This window comes from Homo sapiens, chromosome 10 (genome assembly GCF_000001405.40).
Source record: "Homo sapiens chromosome 10, GRCh38.p14 Primary Assembly".
Taxonomy (NCBI): Eukaryota; Metazoa; Chordata; class Mammalia; order Primates; family Hominidae; genus Homo; species Homo sapiens.
In genome coordinates, this window is record NC_000010.11 from 50,614,814 (window position 1) to 50,633,271 (window position 18,458).

The window sequence follows — 18,458 nt, forward strand, 5'->3', positions numbered from 1 at the left end:
CCCAAACACTAAACTCCAGGGCATTCTTTTTCCTACTTTCTTGGGCAAATTACTTCTGTCCCACTCTCTTTGTCCTCAAAAAAGGTATGATGACAATATCCATTTCATTGGGTCAAGGACTTAGAAAGTGGCTGGCATGCAGTTAGCCATCAACAAGTGTGAATCCCTGTGATTCCGACATCTCTGCCAAAAGGTCTAATCAGAACTAGGAATATAGCAAAATAAAATTCGCTTCCTGAATGCTTACCACCTGACTTTTTCTCCCCACTCAATTCCAGAGCCCTGAGTGAGGACATCCAGGAATGACAGAGAATGCACCTGGCTCCACTGTCTTTCAGTATTTACTTGTTCAGTCTGCAACCTGAGCGCCCACTGAATGCCTGCCGACATGTGGAAAAAGCCATTCTATAAATTTGTACAGCCTCCAACCAGGTCTTTCCGGACAAAAGCCATCCAATTCTGGGGCATAAAGCCTCACACACCTCAAGAGAGGTACAGGAGGAAGGTGATGAATATTAACAAAAGTTGTCATAATAACAGCTAACATTTATGTTGTGGTTACCATGCCAGGCATTCAGTACCTTATAAATGTTAATATAGTCCCCACAATAACCCTGTAAGATGGCTGCTGTTATGACACCTACCAGAGAGTTGGGGAAACTGAGGTGCAGAAGGTTTGCATAACCTGCCTAAGGTCCCACAGCTTCTACACGATGAGGCTGAGATCCAAACCCAGGGTCCAGGGTCAGGGCTCTTCACCACTGTACTATAAGACAGAGAGCTATTGCTTATCTAGGCATCTTCTAACTATTTATCACCAATCCCACAGCACTGATTTTGAGATACTTATGTTTGGGCACAATATCCACTGTCATGGGATTCAATGCTGGGCCCTCAAGGCTCCCAACAGAAATGATAATTCTACTTGGTTTCTCCAGCGCCTTCTCCCCTCCCTAAACTAGTTCCACCCAAGCCAAATCAAAACTTCACAGAGCAGAATCTCTCTCCTCTCATAACTCCCCTGGCACTGCACCACTTCACCTCTAATTATATACCATCTGTCACATAGAGTTCTCTAATTGTTTCTTGCACATTAGCCTTTTCTTCCCCAGTCGACTGTAAAATTCTTTGGAAGTACCCATATTTTTTGTGAAACCCAACAAAACTAGGCAGAAACATGGGCTTGCAAATGTAGTCTTAGAGAGTGTTACACATTTATTGGCTAGCTAATTCACTTTGCTTTTCTGACTCTTCTTTATTATCAACCCTTAAAAACAGACAAAAGTATTAAGTTTATGAGATTTATTTTATTTATTTTTTGAAACAGGGTCTTGCTCTGTCATTCAGGCTGGAGTACAGTGGCATGGTCACAGCTCATCACAGGCTCAACCTCCAGGCTCGAACAAGCCTCCCACATCAGCCCCCCCGCCCCAAGTAGCTGGGACTACAGGTGCACACCACCACAACTGGCTAATTTTATGTATTTATTTATTTATTTATTTAGTAGAGACAGGGACTCACCGTGTTGCCCAGACTGGCCTCAAACTTCTGGGCTCAAGTGATCCTCCCACCTCGGCCTCCCAAAGTGTTGGGATTACAGGTGTGAACTACCATACCCAGACAGTTTATGCTATTTAAAACCAGCATTAGGGGAGGTATTCCACCAACATAACCTAAGCAACAACTCTGTTTCAAGATCTGTATTCCAAGCATCTCCTACAATATCTTTTAAACCCTTCAGCAGCCTCCCTAAGCGGCGGGGGGTGTTGTTATTCCAGTTTGAGGAAAGAGGAACCAGGGCCTACCAGGGGTGAGTAATTTCACCAATGTCATTACAGGCTGATAAATGAAGGAAGATTTTAAAAGATCTGTCCCAAAACACCTATTAGCCTCCCTCTAATGTGGAGACTAAGGTGCCAAGATTCAAATTATCCTCAAAGCAACCTTTATAAAAAATGTTATCATGACAGAGAAAATTTGAAACTCTATTAAAAAGTCATTTTTAAAAAGATGAAATGATGACCATGTTCACGGACAGAATTACAATAAGACAGAAAATCTTACAATATTAGACAGAAAAATCATATTATATATTCAATGCAATGCCCATCACACTTTCCTAACTTTGTTGAGAACTTAATAAGCATTCCAAAATGCATATGGAAGTATAAACATCCACAAATAACCAAGTCAAAGTATAAAGAAAAGTAGGGGCTCATTCTGCCATATAAAACACACTGCAATGCTATAATAAAAAAAATTGGGGGGGCATAAAAACAGACAGATGATTGGTATCAGTATGTCGCAAGTAATGGGGACAGTTTCAGTTTGGGGTGATAAAAAATGTTCTGGAAATGCATAGTGGTGACAACAATGTAAATGTACTTGATGCCACTGAATTATACACTTAAAATGGTTAAATGATAAATTTTATGTTATGTGTATTTTATCATAATTTAAAAAGATTTTTAAAAATCAGTATGTTGAATGAAAGGAACCAGACACAAAATGGTACTATACTGTATGGTCCATTTACATAAAATTCTAGAAAACACAAACTAAACTACAGTGACAGCATATCAGTGGTTGCTTAAGTCTGGGGACAAAGGGATTACAAAGGGGCCCAAGGGCAATTTTGGGGTGATGGAAATGCTCTGTATCTTCACTGTGATGGTTTCACAGGTATGTACATCTGTCAAAAGTAATCAAGCTGTACACTTTGAATGGATTTAGTTTACCTATATAAGTTACAACTCTTATTTTTATTTATGTATTTATTTATTTATGAGACAGGGTCTCACTCTGTCACCCAGGATGGAGTGCAGTGGTGCAATCTGGGCTCACTGCAAACTCCGCCTCCTGAGCTCAAGCAATCCTCCCACCTCAGTCTCCCGAGTAGCTAGGACTATACCAATTAGCCAGGCTAATTTTTGTATTTTTTGTTCAGACAGGGTTTTGACCAGGCTGTTCTCTGTTCTTGAATTCCTGGGCTCAAGCAATCCACCTGCTTCAGCCTCCCAAAATGCTGGGATTACAGGTGTGAGCCACTGCACCTGGCCCTGGCTTAATTTTTTTTTTTTTTTTTGTAGAGACAGGGTCTCTCCATGTTGCCCAGGCTGGTCTTGAACTCCTGGACTCAAACAATCCTCCCACCTCAGTCTCCCAAAGTGCTGGCATTACAGGCATTGAGCCACCACGCTCAGCCTTAATAACTCTTAATAAAGTTGAAAAAGTAAACTAATATGTGTCTGTGGGAATCTGAGGTATGATAAAAGTGGCTCCACAAAACTATATGAAGGAAAGAATACACTGTTTAATAGATGATTTAGGAAAACTGTCTCACAGAATGGAAAGGAAAAAAATAATGTGAGATTCCTTTGTTTTCCCATATATGAAGATGAACTTCAAATAGAATAAAGCCCTCAATGTGAAAGGTAAAACTGGAAAGCTGACAGAATACAGAATATCTTTGTAATCTTGGGGTAAGGAAAAATATCTTATACTCTTAAAGTGCAACCTAAGGCAAAAATTAATGGACTGGGGCTATATCAAAACTAAAAATTTCTCAAAGTTACCATTGACAAAGTTGATAAACAGAAGACAGGATGAGATTAACATCTAGAATATACCAAAAAAATCTTCAAATCACCACATTAGGAAAAGCAAGTATGGCTAGTCAAAGAAATTATAATCACTAATGAATATATTAAAAGAGTTCAAATTTACTAAGAAATCATATAAGTTCACAAAAAGAAAACCCAATGAGATCCCACTTTACAGCCACCAAACATTGGTAAAACTAGAAAGTTGGTTAATAACAAATTTGAGTAAGAACGTGGGGAATCAGGAACCCTTGTGCACTGATGTGGAACAGAAAGCAGCTGAGCAACTCTGGAGAGTAATTTAGCAGTGTTTAGTAAAAACAGGTATGTTTGTACACCATTACTCAGCCATCCCACTCCTAAGTACATACCCTTAGAGCAGCGGTTCTCAAACTTTCCCATGTATCAGAATCTCCAACCTGGGCATGCTGAAACACAGTTCAGGGTTTCTGATTCAGGAATTCTGGAATGTTAGGACCCAAGAATCTGTATTTCTAACAGTTCAGAGTTGATGCCGATGCTGCCAGGTGTGGACCATACTTTAAGAACCACTACCCTAGGGATATTCTCAACCAGATCATTAAGAAAATGCACACAGACCCAGCTACTCAGGAGGCTGAGGTAGGAGAGTCTCTTGAGCCTAAGAGGCAGAGGCTGCAGTGAGCCAAGATCATGCCACTGCACACCTGCCTGGGCGACAGACCGAGACTCTGTCTCAAAAAAAAGAAAAAAAAGAAAGAAAATGCATACAGGATGTTTGCTAGTGGTAGCAGGAGTGGAGGTGAGTTAAGCATCCATCATTAGGGAAATGGGTAAGTAAAAGTAGGAGACACATAAAAGACCAGCCCTACAAAGCAGCAGTCAAGGCAACGCACTAGATAAACCTGCACTAACAAGGATCTCACAAATAAAATGTTAAGGTTCTTCTGACTTTTATGAATGCCTGCAAATTTCCATAATAAAAAGCTCTAATGTTGAATAAAAAAAGAATGAAATCTATAGCACAGAACCACTTATGTAAATCAAAAACAAACAAAGTAACTCAACATCTTTAACAAAATACATACATATGCAAGAACATATCCTGCACTGGAAAGAAGGCTCCTCTGGGGGAGAGGGGCCTGGGGGGTGCTGGGAGGGGAATGAAGGAGAAAAACGTAAAACAAGCAAGGGGCTTTTGCACAGTGAGAGGATCCTGTGCCAAGAACTGGAATGTGAGCTCAGCTCTCAGCACCAGGAGTCTAAAAGGTAAATCACCCAAATTATCTAAATCTCCACTCACCTGTCTGTACGTATAATGGTTGCTTCAGTTAAAGCCCTTGTGGCTTTACATCATTAAGGGAGTAGATCAGCTTGTCACTGAGAGTGGAGGGGAATCTTTCTCAATACAAGCTTGGGGTGATTTCAGGCCCCCAAAATCAAACCTGCTACTGAGTCCTGGATTTTCCCTTTGACATATTAGTTTAAAAAGACACTGGTGCTCTTGGCTTTTGGCAGAGTGTGTGTGTCTCTTTCTCTGTGTCTTTCTCTTCGCTGTCTGTGTGAGTCTCTGTGTCTGTGGATCTGTGTGTGATGTGTTTATCTGTGGAGATGGAGGACTGGGAGAACAGCAAAGCATTCCAGCAGGGCCTGAGCCAAACTTATTCATCAGCACCATTCAATGCAGCTTTACTGAATCCAGAAGTCAGTTATAAAACCAAGCTACCTTCCTGGGGCTCCGCCCACCCTTCTCTTTCCCTTTCTTCACTCTCTCCTCCCTGACATCCAATGCTGCCTCCCAACTCCCACATCCAAGTGGGCTGATCCAAAATAAGGTCCTCTTGTGACTGGGTAGCTTAATGGAGGTAACAACCTTTACAGGGATGCTCTTAGAGAGGAGAAATAGCCATTTATATTCCTGACCAAAAGCCTTTAATAGGAAAGCCAAAAATCTTGAAGACCAGCATGTCATAAAAGTTCCTCCAGAAGAGACTGTTATGGCTATAGCTACCATCCAAAAAAGGCATAGCCATCTATAACATGTTATGCCCCCACAAGGACACAAGAGCCACTGAATAGTTTGCCATATGAAGTGGTGGGAAAGTGTATATGGCAATCAAAAAATAAAAATCACCATTGATCAAATTTGTGTGAGAAAATGCAACAGATTCTTCTGACAGGATTGCTTTAAAAAGCAAGCTCATGCCAAGAAAGTACATCTTTAGGAGAAGAAGAAATACCTAAACAATTGGAGGAAGGAACAGACAGTGATGGTAAAGAGCAGAATGAACTGGCAGCACACTCATGCCTCCCTCCTAAAGACCAGGGCATTGATGCCTGTGTGCAAACAATCCAGAATTTTTATTCCCAAAATACTCTTTCAGCTTTTCTATAGCAGCACTTTTCAGAGTTTTCCTGAAATGTTATGTATAAAATGAAGTTTTCTAAGTTAAAGCATTTGACATCCAACAGGAGCACTTTTTAGTTAAAAATAATAATAATAATACTGCTAGGTGCAGTGACTCACACCTGTAATCGCAGCACTTTGAGAGGCCAAGGTGAGAGGATTACTTGAGCCCAGGAGTTTGGGACCAGCCTGGGCAACATAACAAAACCCTATCTCTATAAAAAAGTAGCTGGGCTTAGTGGTGCGTGCGTGTAGTCCCAGCTACTCGGGAGGCTGAGGTAAGAGAATCCCCTGAGCCTGGAGAGTTCAAAGCTACAGTAAGCCGAGATTGTACCACTGCACTCCATCCTGGGTGACAGAATAAAACCCTGTCTCAAAAGAAAAACAAACAAAAAAAAACTGATGGCTATACTTAGGAGTCAGGAGTCCGTTTGGTTTTCATGACGTATGTTAACAAAGCACACCATTTCTCTAGCTGAAATGTAGGATCTGCCCCAAGTTTGAAAATTAATAAATTTAACCAGAAAAGTAAAAGAATCAAGTTTTCAAGCTAAAATTGAATGTTTATGGTCAACCCAGCAATCATGTCTTACGAAAACATAAATATTCTTTAAATGTCAATGTGCAAAGGTATTGATGCATATATTTTACTCTAACCATATTAATACAGACTTAAAAATAGATGATGAACATGGTAAATACTGGTAAACTCTTCTGTTATGAAGAATTTTTAAAATTTCAGCTGCAGAGGCATGTATTGAATACAAGTTAGACACTGTGCAAGATGCTAGAAATCTTCCAATGAGTAAGATACTGGTTTAATAACCGTGTCCCTCTGATGTCAATTTAATACATCTCTGGAGTTAATGTCTTTTATTAAAAAGTTTCCGGAAATTTCAAATAGCTCACTATCATCACTGAAGAGTTGCAGAAATGTATCTTATTATTTTACTAAAAACATAAATTTCTATTCTGTGAAGCAGAAATGGAAGGAAAGGCCACTTCACTGTTTTTACATATCACTGTCACTTTCTGCAGAGTAACTACTTAAAACTGCATGGCGGCAGCAGCCACCCCACTGCTACCCAGCAGGTCACAGAGATGCAGAGACTCAAAAACATGCTATATATTGCTGTATATTTTAAGAGGCGCAGTAAGGAAACTCGAAATACCAGGGCCTCCAGAGCTAAACAGGAAGCAAGATAAGACAAGTGAGCTGCCACAGGCAGAAGGCAGCACCTGGAGGTTCCCCCAAAGCTGGCGCCTCCGACAGCAGGCACAGGCTGCTGCTTGCTTGCTTGCTTGCTTCTTTGCTTGGCCACGGCATGTCTTCAGAGCTGGAAGGCTGCCACCTGCTGAATCACCAAACATCCCTGGGCTTCCCTTGGAGCACTGACCAGACAGGCACCCATCCCCCGCAGCCTTCGCCCGTGGACGTTTCACACCCCGACCAATGAAACGCCCCGCCCTCTCCCCTTCTGCACAGGCCAAAACAGCCGCCAACCCCTTTCCATCTGGGCAGCTCTAGGCAACACCCATCGCGTTCCTACGTCACCAGTCCCACTCCTCTCCTTCGGCCCACTCAGTCCCCCCTGAATGTTTCAACCCCCAGTGCCAGGAAGCGTGGGGAGTTCACAGCACAGCACATCAGACATTCGCCACTTCCACATCCAGGGAGCCAACTAGAAACATCCCCAAACCTAAAAGCAAAATAACCTGTCCAAACAGCTTTAAAGGTCCAGGAAGATAAATGTCAAGGGAGCTAAAATAGTCGACAGGCCCCAGAACATAGAAAATAAACTTCCCTTTCAGAAAGCAGCCTTCACTTGGTTTCGTAAGCGTGTACCGCTGAAGTCTGTACTGTTTGAAGGTGAAAAGAAACATCTGAGAAGCACCTGCCTGGATTCTCTTCGCTCCCTCCGGCCATGACAACCCTTATCCCGATTTCTACTTCGCGGCACCAAAGAGGAAAGCAGCATTCACCAGAACGCTCCAGGCTGAATCCGTTAGCTGGACTAGGGCACTCTATCCGGCCCACGGGAGGACGCCACAAGCCCGAGTTCGGGTTAAGACGGTGGGAGAGGCAGCCGCTGCTGCTGCTGTTTTGCCCTTGACACGTCGCTGGGGGATAGCGCAGACCCCCTCTGTCACGGAAAAGCGGCGTCCTGGAGAGACTGTCCAGTTCTGGGCTGCGCCGATTCCCCTCCAGGCCTTGCCCCTAAACGTCCCCGCCCCGCGGGGGCAGCCCTGCGGGGTCTCAGAGCCGCCCGCGAGCCTGGCGGGCTGTTACGCGGCCTGGAGAGAAGGGGAGCGCTCCTCGGGGAGGGGGGGTCCCACCTGTTTTGTCGTCAGGGGGCATCGAGGGGCTACGGTGGGGGGATCCCGAAATAGTGGGCGCCTGGCCGGCTGCGATCTGGACCGAAGGTACCAACTGTCACACCGCCACCTAGGCTGTGGGGGTGGAGCCGTGATTGGAGTCGGCCCCTGGGTGGGGGTCTCCGGACCCCGGGCGGGCTACTGCCCAAAGGCTCCCCGCCTCCCGATCGCCCCAATCCGACACCAGGCAGCCTTCCAGCCCGCACGCAGTAGCTCTGAAAAGGTGCCCACTGACGCCTCCTCCTTCCTCCCCGCCCCAACTTAGCCGGGGAGCCCCGCCGGCGGCCCGCCCCCTCCGAGCCCGGATCCCGGCCGCCGGACCTCCCCGCTGTGACCACCCACGGGAGCAGCAGCTCTGGAGGACTGCCCGCCAGGTACGCGCGCGGCACCGCGCGGGCTGCGCTCACGCCCCCTCGCCCCAGAGCAGCCCGCCCGCTGCTCCCCGGCATAAGGCCGGGCCCGCGAGACAGGTGTCCGATCGGCCCCCGCAACCGTGAGGCCGGCTGTCTGTCCCTGCCCCACGACTCACTTGCACTGGAGTCACGGCAGCCGCCGGAATTCCGCTCGCGGAGCCCCCGCCGCGGAATGAAATCCGGGGCAGGGCAGCGTCGGGGCTCCGCACCCCAATCGCGCTCTCCGACCGGCTCCCTAGGCGCGAGGGGAGAGCAGTCAGCCCAGGCCGGTCCTTCTCACTCCCGACCTGCCCGCCGCCTGCCGCCCGCAGCCGCTGCCCCGCTGGTGCGAACGCTTTCGACTTGCCACCGCGAGCCTCCCGGGCTGCCGAGCATGCCCAGTCCGCTGCCCGAGCCGGCCCGGCTTCCCGCGCGACGCGACTCCGCTCCTCCGGGTGTTCACTGCGGCCGGGGGGGCGGGCCGGCCGGGCGGGGTCCGCGGGGGGCTCCTCCCGGGACCGAGCGGGACCCCGAACCAAGGGACAGTCGCAGTTTGGGCCCCTTGAATTTTACTTTCAAGTAATGGGAAACTGAGGAGGCGGGCGCTTTCCCCAGCGTTTTTAGGGGCCCACTAAGTAAGGCCTAGCGGGAGCCAGATTTTACAATCTGGGACGGTAAATCCCTTGGGGCAGGGCCGGAGACGGGAGCCGCTAGAGCTGGTCACAAAGCAGGGAACGCAAACTCAGCCTGCTGGAAGCCAGGCACGAGTTTGCGAACTACTACTGGATTCTTTTTCCCACCAAGCCCAAGGGCTGCGACACTTGGGATTAATGCCCAATGGATCATTCCTAGGAAACGGCCGACCTGACTATTCGGCCCATTTTCAAACCTCTAACCATAGACTCTCATCTTTCTCCCACAACAGAAAAAAAAAGCCTCTGGCGACGCCTGGGAGCGCGACGGAGGCGCAAGAGCTCTAACCGCGCGAGGTGAAAACTCCGACTGCGTCAGAGCCGCCCCGCCCCGCCTGGGGCCCACCTTCCGCCGCCCCTCCGAGCTGCGGCGAAAACCCGGAGAGCGGCTAGGCCGGGGTCGGAGCCCGCGCATGCCCAGTAGCCCCACGTGGTGCAAGTCGCCTGAAGGAAGGTTTTCCTCTGCTCCCCGAGCGAAGCCCCAGCGCCCAAGTTAGGATGGACAGCGGGGAGAGCTGGCCTTCCCGCCCCGATGCCCGCCGTCCCTGGCCGGCCCGCGCCGCACCTCGGTGGCCTACAGGCAGCCCGAGGCCGTGCCTCCCGCGGGGTCGGGGACTTGGCGAGCGGGGGAAGGGGCGCGGCTACGGGCCCGGCGTACCACGTGACTGTCCGCGGCGCTCCGGGCAGCCATCTTCCGCCCGGCCATCGGGCCGCGGGCGCTCGGAACCGACCTGGGAGCTGGCGGGACCGTCCTCCCCCGCCACGCCCTCCCATCGGGCTTTGGGCGCCGGACTCTGGCCACCGCTCGGCACCTGCCTCCGCCTCGCCTTGGGGTATAGGAGTCCTGTACCGACCCCTGGCTTGCCCAGAGGACAGGTTCTCGCCCGGGCCAGAAGCAAACTGCGGCGAAATCGAGACAACAGAACTCAGGTGGCGGAGGGTCCCCGCTTTTCCCCAGAGGCGGAAGTTGGCGAGGGAGTCCTCTTCCGTTATCCAGCGAGAGCGCTGCTCTGGCTGCCTCCCGGTTCTAACCTAGTCCCTGCAGAGGAGTGATGTACCGGCAGGGACATTGGACAGAGGCCGTGCTCTTCCCTGCAGCGCATACCCCGCGGCCCCTGCTGGTGGGCCGCTTCGATGGTGCTGAGGTTCATAGTGAATATTTATTGAGCGCCTGCCTCGAGTCCCTTGGGTTTCCTGTTGTCTCGGGACCTGCCGCGTCACTATCACCCTAGAATTTGTTAGAAATGCACGTTTTCGGCCCCACCTAGACCTACAGAACCAGAAACTGCGGGTGGAGTCCTGCAATATGATTAACAAAGCCCTCCGGGTAGTTGTCATGGACGCCTCTATATTTCAGCTAAGCAGTCCATTTTAATAAGCTAGGCAGTGAAAATTTCCATAGTTTTCCCCAAAGCACAGTGAGGAGTCAGGGATTCAAAATGAGGCAATCTGCCCCAATGCAGGCGTTTTATTGCACCCTCCACTCCTGGCTCCTCTGGTTTTTTCGCCCGTAAGACACAGTACTGCTCTTCTCAGGAAGATTAGGAAAGTACATTTGTCACATACGCTTTTCAAGCACGGCTTTAAAATAACAACTGAAATTCAGTTCAACTGCATGTTTTGAGTATCTACTGGGAGCAAGGCTCTGTGAAGTATAGTAGCCCTACTGGTTATGTTTATCAGTTTGCACCTAAAAGGTGAAAGGAAGGCTTGCTTTCTTGTGATGTAAATTTTTTCAAACTAAGGGAGTGCCAGAAAACTGCTGGCTGCTTTCTCTCCCGTGTTGGTTTCTCTCCAGTGCTATCCAGAATATGCTGTAAGCTCTGGACTTCCTGAAACAAAGGTCCAAGTAAGCATCTGGTCTTTGATGTACTTTAAAATGCACCCCACCCCCACATGAAAGATAACTAAATTTTTCAAAATATTAATACTTCTTGAATGTAAATCGTGTGTCTAAGGTACTGGCATAATTTTTTTTTTCAAATTTTCTATATGTTTGAAATGTTTCATAATAAAATCCTTTTAAATTTTTTTCCATGTGTAATTTTAGGATGATATATATATAGCACATGGAAAAAAGCAGGGCATAGAAGTATTTCCACTTTAATTTCAGTTTCATAAAATCAGAGAGAAAAAGTCATAGATATATACACCATACATAAAAAATAAAAGCGTAAATAAATACAGAAAGAAATCTAAAGAGAAATCACCATAGCAGTAAAAGTAAATTCTGTGTGAAGTGGTTATAAGAGACACTAAGAGTTGCCCCTCCTTGAAATTATATTTAGTTATGGTCCTTAAGTCACTATTATTTGTAACCAAAAAAAAAAATTGAATAAAAATAGTTCTCCCTCTTTAGTCCATCCAATCCTAAAGAATTTTTATCAGTGCCCTTTCTTTTTCTTCAGAGTCACTCTGTCACCCAGGCTGGAGTGCAGTGGCACCATCACAGCTCCCTGCAGCCTTGACTTACAGGGCTCCAGTGATCCTCCACCCTCAGCCTCCTGAGTATCTGAGACCACAGGTGCAAGCCACCATGCCCAGGTAATTTTTTATTTTTGGCCGAGGCTGTTTCATCATGTTGCCCAAACTGGCCTTGAACCCCTGAGCTCAAGTAATCCACAGGCCTCCGCTTCCCAAAGTGCTGAGATTACAAGCATGAGCCACTGTGCCTTGCTTACCAGTGTATTTCTTAGGAAAATTTTAATAAACATCATATTGTTGGATTGTAAAATTTTTGGATTCTCAAGTACTCAGAATATCATGAATTACGTTGCTGTCAAGACAACTAGGAAACAAAAGTGAATCACCTCCAAGTCACAATCTGTCATTAGAAATCTTGTTAAAAATAATACTAAGAGCAAATACTGAAGCAAATGCTTCACTTACCAAAACAGCTATTCTGAAGTAGGTGGTTTGGTTCCAAATGAATGACTTTTCTACCTTTAGAAGGTAAACTACCTGATTTAAAATGTGGTTTTATTCAGTGGACCTTTCAGCAGTAGCCATCACTCACCATTGAGAAGGTGGGCTTCTCTCACCACCTTAATCTCTGTAGGTCTCTTTCACCCTCTAGCATACATCTTACTAAGGCATCTAAAGTACTTACTACTTCGTACTCATGGGATCCAATGATGCTCACATAATGTCATCAATAGAGTGGACCAGTGTGATGTTTTGTGGAATGTCAGAACAATCAAGATCACTTCAGACTATTATGGCAGTGAGCAAGAGAACTAATGGAGCCCGTGGCAACACTGGGAAGACATATTGTTGGCCCTGTTGGGTAACAGCAAATCACTTCTGATGGACCTTGCAAATTGGTATGGAGGAAAAGGCATTAGCCAGGTAAATAAGTGCATACCAAATGTCAGATCTGCCCCAGGTGCATACCAATGTGTTAATCTGCCCCAGTAAAGGTACTACTTCTGGGAGAGCAGCTGAAATTGGAGTCCCCATCTGATTACATTTATGACATTCCACAGTCATTCTTCAAGATCCATTTGTCTTCTGCACAGTCTAAACTGGGGAATTAAATGGGAGATACTATAGGTATCACTACCAACCACCTGTAGTCAAAGTTCAAATAGTGCTCTGGAAGCAAGGAGACTTTTGTTTCTATCCATGGAAATTTGTCTCAATGTGATCCAGAGCCACGTAGCCTGAATAACAGGAGCAAGACCTTAGGAGCCCCTGCTTAGCTCTTTAAACTCTTCTGGCCAACCTGGGTTCCAAACCAAGGCTAACCAAAAAAGCTAGTCGAAGACAACAAAGGTCATTCCAAGTATTGGCCCCGAGGCTTAGATCTGATAATACTCAACATTCTGTGCTCATTCCTGTGTACCTGGCTAGGATTCCTGGCTTCAATAACTGCTTGGCTTCTATTCATTGACAAAAAACTTGGAATTTATTTGAAGATACCAGGGTAGATCAGGGATGCAGCTGAGCCTCGGGATGAGATGGAAACCAGGAACTGGAGTATTGAAAGGAACCCAGAAAGTCTCCCTCTGTCTCCTCTGCATTTCTATTTATTCTCTCCCTGTGGTTTCTGGCTTTTTTCCTTCAGTTCCATGAAATGACCACTTGAGAGCTCCCAAGTTTTTAATCTCTTCCAGAGAGTAACAAGAACAACCCTACCTATATTCATTAACCCTCTTGTCTAGTTGAATCCTATTTCCCCAGATTCCCACTGGCCACTTAATCTTACTAATATTTCAAGGTCCATCTCCAATTTCACCTTTTTTTGTATACAAATGTTCATAACAGCTTTATTTATAACAGCCCCAAACTGGAAACAACCCAAGTGTTCATCGGTAGGTCAATGGACAAATCTGTTCAATGAAGTGGTACTCAGCAATGAAAAACACAAAAACAAAAACTCTTGACAAATGCTACCACATGGATGGATCTCAAAATAATTATACTGAGTAAAATAAGGCTGACCAAAAAACGGATACATATTGTATGATTCAATTTACATAGAATTCTAGGACATGCAAACTAATAATGGGGCAAAAGGGCACTTGGGGATGATGGGTCTGATTTTCACCTTGATCGCAGTGATAGTTTTACGCAGGGTATACATATGCCAACACACTGTACACTTTAGATATGTGCAGTTTATCAGCGGTCAAGTATACCTCAGTAAAGCTAAAATAAAAATATTAATGGGCTCCACATTCTGGAGACACTGGCAGTAGAACTATTATTTTCAGCTTGAAATATTAGCTACACTTTGGTAAAAATACTTTTGAATTTTATCTTCACAGTTGTAGCAAGGAAACCAAAAGGTATAAACATTCACTGATTGAAAAACAATGTCATAAAGTCATCCCAGTATCTGTGAGGAGTTGGTTCCAGGACCCCTGAGGACACCAAAATCCTCAGATGCTCAAGTCCCTGATAAAAAAATAAAAGGTACAGTATTTGCGTATAACCTCCCCATATCCTCCTGTACACTTTAAATCATCACAAGATTACTTATATTACCCAATACAATGTAAATGCTGTGGGAATAGTTACACTGTATTATTTAGAGAATAATAAGAAAAAAAGTCTGTACATGTTTGGTACAGATGCAGTTTTTTCTTAAAAATTGTTGATCAGCAGTTGGTTGAATCCACAGATGTGGAACCCACAAATACAGCAGGCTGACTGTATATACTAAGAAAAATTACAAAGTGAAAATGAGGAATTCTCATTCTGTAAATGAAACCAAATCTAACACATTTCTCAACAATGAATAAAACCACTTAAGAGTCAAATATTTGGTGTCTGACAGCCATCTCTCTCCTGCATGTTGATGTGGTCTACAGCAGTGGTGCCCTCGGGTTCAAAAACCTGAACGGTGGTCTTCAGTTGTTCCCCCAAGCTCCTCTATCAGAGGCCCAGACACTCCAAGAGGCTGGGAAGAGGCAAGTGGCTTTCCCTGACTGGCATCAGACTCCTGGATGGCTGTGTTTCTGCATACTCCACCATCAACAATCAGAAGGGCACTGCTTTCTTCAAGAAGGGGACCTTGCAAAGAACTGTCTCAGATGGACTATCTTTGAGTTCATCTTGTTCTGAATGTGAGTCTGAGTCTTTGTTTCCAGATGACACAGTGCTGTCTGAGTCCTCTGAATCACCTGCCTCAGAGCTGCAGCAAAGTTTCTGCTGCCCAGAAACTGAATGGGCTGCTTGTAATGCAGATTCTTCCTCCTGGACAAGAAGTGCTGCTGCTTCTAGTTCTTCCAGTTCTAACCCCAACTGGGCCTTTGTAAGGGAGACTTCCTTTAAGGCTTCTGCAAGAGCTGCCAACGTTTTGGATTTGACTTTCTGAGTCCACACACAGTAGTATGAGATGTAGAGATCATTCAGTATGTATGCTGGGTCGTTTTCCTGAAAAATTTTGTGAATATCCAGGAGACACTTTAAAACTGCACTTTTACTTAATTGCAGTATCTTTATAGTCTCCCCGTAGGCCTTCATCGCCAGTTTGAAATGGCGATAGAGCAGGTAACACAATACCCTTCTTCCAAAAGACACCATGATATCATGAACATTAGTCCAAGTCTCAAACCAGCATAGTATTGGACTCAAGTTTCGTGATATTCCATGCAGATTCAACGTTCTTGTCTCCTTCAGTGACACGGGTTTCTTAGCAATATGCCAGAAGGATATCAATCGAACTGTAGTACACTTGACGACAGGCTCTGTTGTCTAGCAGATAAGATTTATTGACAAATTCTTGTAGCTGATATTTCTCTTCTTCAGAAAAAGACACTAATGCAGCATGATTTTCTTGCTTCTGACTCTTTTCCAAAAAGGCCGTCATTTTTTAATATTTGTCAGTCCACCAAGGATTATACTTCAAAATCTGTTCAACTGCCTCATCTTCAAAAAAGTCAGCTAGATAATGATCAGGATCAAACTTGGCCAGCTCGGCGGCCAGGTGCTTTTGTTTTCGTTCTGCTGCAGGGATGAAATCTGGATCCTTAATAACATCACTCAATTCATCCTGTAACTGCTGAAACACTCCTGATCGTAAGTTTCCAAACCCATAGTGGCATGAGGATTCAAAGCACTTTCTGTTACCTCTTCATAGGGTGTCTGCTCAATTTCCCAATCAAACTCTTCATCGTCAACTACTTCCTCAGGAATTTCAGAATCACCTATTGCTTCCACAAGTGGTTTTGCTGTCCCGGATTTTCCTGGTGCCAGAAGAGCAACACATGTTCAGCCCCTCAAAATGCTGGCCAGGGGTTTCTCTGGGCAGGCGAGTGGTAAAAATTCCTTTATCTGCATCATAGGACCCTTGCTCGCTTCCGTATCCATATTCTACAATTCTTCCAGGAGGGGTTAATCTGAGAAAGTACGGCTTGGCATAGTAGTCTAGGCCGACCCCTCGAAGTAGACGTTGAACTCGGAGGCCGGGGCATAGGGCACGCGGATGGCGATGGTCAGGAAATCCGGCTCCTGGCTGAGGCTGAACGCCGGGGTCAGCATCGCGGCACCAGACGCAGGGGCCAGCGCGGCTCGCCCTCGCTGCCGCGGCGGTCCCACCAAGCAACTCTCTCCAATTTTACCTTTTTAAAATAAAAGATGTCTGGGCCAGGCGCAGTGGCTCACGCTTGTAATCCCAGCACTTTGGGAAGCCGAGGCGGGTGGATCCTGACCTGAGGTCAGGAGTTCAAGATCAGCCCCGCCGACATGACGAAACTCCGTCTCTACTAAAAATACAAACATCAGCCGGACGTGGTGGTGGGCGCCTGTAATCCCCACTACTCGGGAGGCTGAGGCAGGAGAATCACTTGAACCCGGGAGGCAGAGGTTGCAATGAGCCGAGATCATGCCACTGTACTCCAGCCTGGGTGACAGAGTGAGACTCTGTCTCAAAAAAAAAAAAAAAAAAAAAAAAAAAAGTCTGTCTTCCAGGACACAGAAGCCTCCTATACACACATTTTGGCACTTGATTATGTTATGTCTTTTACAGTTCTCTGCATGTTTCTTGCAGGTAAGTCTTGATTCTTCAATTACATATTAAATTTCTATTGAGGATATATATCTAGCTTTCATCTTTCAGAGTACCTAGCATAGGACTTGGCACCAAGTAGCCCATAGTAAACAGTTATTCAACCATAATGTATGATTTTCTTTTCTACTTTTCACTGGTATGTTTTTGTTTAAAAAGGGTAAACCACCAGGGATGGAAATGTCCTTGCTATGTTATCCTTCTTCTCTAATTAGCAACCACCCTTCACAATCTGCCACATTACATTTAAAAAGGATTTTCAAATTAGACATTTATGCCTGGGCATTAACCAGGGACTGATGAATCAGTGCCATCAGCAGAACACTGCCCTGACTGGCAGACATGGCACCATTGTCAAGACTTGTAATTTACTCCTGGCTTTTCAAATAGTCAGTGTGTAACTCCAGGCAAGGTTTAATTATCTCCTGTTAAAATGGGAATAATATGACCCACCCCCACTTTGCTTCCCATGGGTATCATGAGAATTAATTAATTATTGAATAAGAATATATGTCTATAAAATATTTTATAGTTCATTAGAGGTAAACAAATGCAAACGTAAGATATTGTTCAATGTATTATGAATGTTCATTGTTGCTGTATTTAGTACAAAGTACCTGTATTATATCAACAGTGGTAGTACACAAAATAATGAATACATGTTGGGTCAGCACCTCCTCCAATTACCACTTGCAAACAAGTCCTGGATGGCCAGAACTAATTGGAAGGTTGAGACAAAAATTATATCTCGCACACTAAAGAAGGGGAGATTGATACAGCGCGCTCACCTAAATTTCGTAGTGCCTTCATGAACTCTTCAAAAGCTTCAAATCTAGGCTAGGCTACAGGAAGAACAGCAGCAACTGAAGACTGGCACCTTTTCTGGAACCTCAGCAGCACCTTCCTTGTTTCGTAAGATTTCGAAGAAGCATATCAAAATTCTTCCACCCATTCCTTCACAGTATAATAGGAGAAAACATCTATCCTCCGTTGACACCTGGAAGAATGAGATTCCAACTCACTCCAGGACATGGCCAGAAAAATTCAACAAAAGATTTGCTAAATCCTCTGCACTATTATCTAGACCAGGATTTCTCAACCTCAGCTCTGTGGACATTTGGGCCAGATAATTCTTTGTTACCAGAGGCTGTCCTGTACATCATCAGGTGTTTAGCAGCATTCCTGGCCTCAACCAAATGGATGCCAGTAGCACCTCCCCCACCCACTTGTGACAGCCAAAGATATCTCCAGACATTGCCAAATGTCCCCTGTTATGGAGAATCATCCTCAGTTGAGAATCACTGGTTTAGGCAATGATCAAAGTGGGGCAACTAAATCAAAAGGCACTGCAATCTTAAGTTGATCAAGCATCCTTCTTTGAAATCACTCAGCACTTTCATATATTGCATTTATATCTTAGGTATTCATATTCTAACAATTCAGCCAATGTTTTTTGAGTTCGCAATGGACAAGGTACAAGATCAAGTAAGTAATTCT

At 45.4% G+C, this 18,458-nt stretch overlaps 1 protein-coding gene, 1 long non-coding RNA gene and 1 pseudogene across 8 annotated transcripts in view, besides 8 other annotated features; 1 reads left to right on the plus strand and 2 right to left on the minus strand.

The window, feature by feature from the left end:
- SGMS1 (sphingomyelin synthase 1) overlaps positions 1–10,371 on the minus strand; it is a 319,585-nt gene extending 309,214 nt beyond the window's left edge. For 5 of the 7 annotated variants that reach the window (XR_007061953.1, NM_147156.4, XM_047424973.1 and 2 more), the window contains exon 1: positions 8,894–9,143. The gene's annotated coding sequence lies outside the window, so the exon portion shown is untranslated. Of the gene's footprint in view, positions 1–8,325; positions 8,597–8,893; positions 9,144–10,106 lie in introns of those variants that run through there. The other 2 variants (XM_047424974.1, XM_047424975.1) reach the window with 2 other exon arrangements.
- Positions 7,191–7,350: an enhancer, noted in NCBI's record as "active region_3365". NCBI's record gives its function as "activates an Ori minimal core promoter by ATAC-STARR-seq in GM12878 lymphoblastoid cells {active_cell/tissue: GM12878}" and the evidence as "EXISTENCE:reporter gene assay evidence [ECO:0000049][PMID:35858748]".
- Positions 7,901–8,300: an enhancer, noted in NCBI's record as "active region_3366". NCBI's record gives its function as "activates an Ori minimal core promoter by ATAC-STARR-seq in GM12878 lymphoblastoid cells {active_cell/tissue: GM12878}" and the evidence as "EXISTENCE:reporter gene assay evidence [ECO:0000049][PMID:35858748]".
- Positions 8,491–8,830: a silencer, noted in NCBI's record as "silent region_2369". NCBI's record gives its function as "represses an Ori minimal core promoter by ATAC-STARR-seq in GM12878 lymphoblastoid cells {active_cell/tissue: GM12878}" and the evidence as "EXISTENCE:reporter gene assay evidence [ECO:0000049][PMID:35858748]".
- Positions 9,012–9,540: an enhancer, noted in NCBI's record as "H3K27ac hESC enhancer chr10:52383585-52384113 (GRCh37/hg19 assembly coordinates)". NCBI's record gives its function as "activates a minimal SCP1, AML or CMV promoter by ChIP-STARR-seq in primed H9 embryonic stem cells {active_cell/tissue: H9 hESC(primed)}" and the evidence as "EXISTENCE:reporter gene assay evidence [ECO:0000049][PMID:30033119]".
- Positions 9,012–9,556: a biological region, named in NCBI's record as "H3K27ac hESC enhancer GRCh37_chr10:52383585-52384113".
- Positions 9,091–9,350: a silencer, noted in NCBI's record as "silent region_2370". NCBI's record gives its function as "represses an Ori minimal core promoter by ATAC-STARR-seq in GM12878 lymphoblastoid cells {active_cell/tissue: GM12878}" and the evidence as "EXISTENCE:reporter gene assay evidence [ECO:0000049][PMID:35858748]".
- Positions 9,399–9,556: a silencer, noted in NCBI's record as "fragment chr10:52383972-52384129 (GRCh37/hg19 assembly coordinates)". NCBI's record gives its function as "represses an EF-1alpha promoter that drives an FKBP-Casp9 reporter gene in an ReSE screen in phorbol 12-myristate 13-acetate-treated (for megakaryocytic differentiation) K562 erythroleukemia cells {active_cell/tissue: K562(+PMA)}" and the evidence as "EXISTENCE:reporter gene assay evidence [ECO:0000049][PMID:32094911]".
- Positions 9,681–10,310: a silencer, noted in NCBI's record as "silent region_2371". NCBI's record gives its function as "represses an Ori minimal core promoter by ATAC-STARR-seq in GM12878 lymphoblastoid cells {active_cell/tissue: GM12878}" and the evidence as "EXISTENCE:reporter gene assay evidence [ECO:0000049][PMID:35858748]".
- On the plus strand, positions 10,138–16,823 carry SGMS1-AS1 (SGMS1 antisense RNA 1). The gene is made up of 4 exons (NR_126411.1): positions 10,138–10,378; positions 11,857–11,992; positions 14,218–14,365; positions 14,764–16,823. It is a non-coding gene; the product is annotated as an SGMS1 antisense RNA 1 (long non-coding RNA).
- Positions 14,514–16,509, minus strand: SHQ1P1 (SHQ1, H/ACA ribonucleoprotein assembly factor pseudogene 1; annotated as a pseudogene).
- Positions 16,824–18,458: the final 1,635 nt, after the last annotated feature.